We start from the raw sequence: 1,188 nt of genomic DNA, 5'->3' as shown, positions 1-1,188 counted from the left end.
AGAAAATTGAAAGAGCTTCCCATGCAGTTAAATGCCACTGTTATTCTGACAAACATGTGCCCGCCCCTATGTTGATTCCAGCAGGAAAACTAGAAAAAGTTCCACGACATTCCTTTCAGGAACTCCTCTTACAAATAAACCTCCAACACACCTCAAGATCCGGCCCACTCTCCTCCACGCAGACCACACACCCAGGGTGCTCAGTCACACTGACTCGCCCTACACAACCTCCGCCAGCTTCTTCGCACCGAATCTGCAGACCCTGGCCAGCAAGCAACCGCCTGATCTTCCCGACGCGCGAAGCCGCCTCCTCGCAGGAGCTTCGCTGCGAAATGTTTCCATGCAGCCGACTCTCTGGCTGGTTCAGAGGGATTCAGGAGCCCACGTCCTCCTACCCTCACCTCCACACCCTTCATAAATAGTAAAACATATACACGAAGCACAAGAGAGAAAATGCACGAAGATTTTGAGCCCCGCGTTCCAGAAGGAGAGTGAGTGGATTGGGGTCTGTGGGGCGCCCGGCGCACAGTTCGCCGCCGTCTGGGCCCGGGGAGGGGACGGGGCGGTTGTCTTGCCTCTCGAAAGAAACTGGAAACCCCCCAGAAGTTGCTGGAAACGAATGCCACCCAACAGGCTCCCGCGGCAGAGACTGGGGAAGCCAGGTACCTTCCCTAAGAGCAGGCACCTGGCCTGTCGCTCGCCGCCGCAGCCTCAGCGCTCAGCAGCCAGCCCGGCACCCAGCGGGCGCCACAGACATCAGCCTCCGTCTCCACGCGGCTCCTTCCACCACGGCTACGGGCTCCTGTTCCTTTAGTCCCAGGTCCCTCCACTCCCCAGGTTCGCGTCCCTCTGCTGCGGGCTGTGACTGGGCTGTCAGAAGAAAAGCCCCGCCGGGAACCCGGCGCCAGAGGCCAGGGCGCACGGAGAGGGGGCAGTAGCCCGAACCAGTCGGAGGAGCTGACTTGAAGGCTTCCCGCAGCATTCCGGGCTCTCGGTTCCTTGTTTTGTGGCTGCCTCGCAGCGCAACAAACTTATTTTCCGGCTGAGAAGGAGAAGAAGGGTCGCTGTGGGGTGACGGTGGCGTCGTCGGGGCCCTGAGTCCTCCGCGCTCAGGCGTTCAGCTCCCGCTCCCCGACCCTGCAGGGCTTCCGGGCTCTGAGCTGGACGGCCCCGCAGACGCTGCCCGGC

At 61.1% G+C, this 1,188-nt stretch overlaps 1 protein-coding gene across 10 annotated transcripts in view; it reads right to left on the bottom strand.

Moving 5' to 3' along the window:
• The window catches only part of CNTN4 (contactin 4), a 959,094-nt gene that overhangs the window by 957,644 nt on the left and 262 nt on the right, over nucleotides 1-1,188 (bottom strand). For 2 of the 10 annotated variants that reach the window (NM_001350095.2, XM_047447536.1), the window contains exon 2: nucleotides 667-1,042. The exons of 5 other annotated variants lie outside the window; for them this stretch is intronic. The gene's annotated coding sequence lies outside the window, so the exon portion shown is untranslated. Of the gene's footprint in view, nucleotides 1-151; nucleotides 1,043-1,188 lie in introns of those variants that run through there. 3 more of the 10 variants (XM_017005783.2, XM_011533427.3, XM_017005784.3) reach the window with 3 other exon arrangements.

Source organism: Homo sapiens, chromosome 3 (assembly GCF_000001405.40).
Source record: "Homo sapiens chromosome 3, GRCh38.p14 Primary Assembly".
Classification (NCBI taxonomy): domain Eukaryota; kingdom Metazoa; phylum Chordata; class Mammalia; order Primates; family Hominidae; genus Homo; species Homo sapiens.
This window is presented reverse-complemented; position numbering and strand designations above follow the sequence as displayed.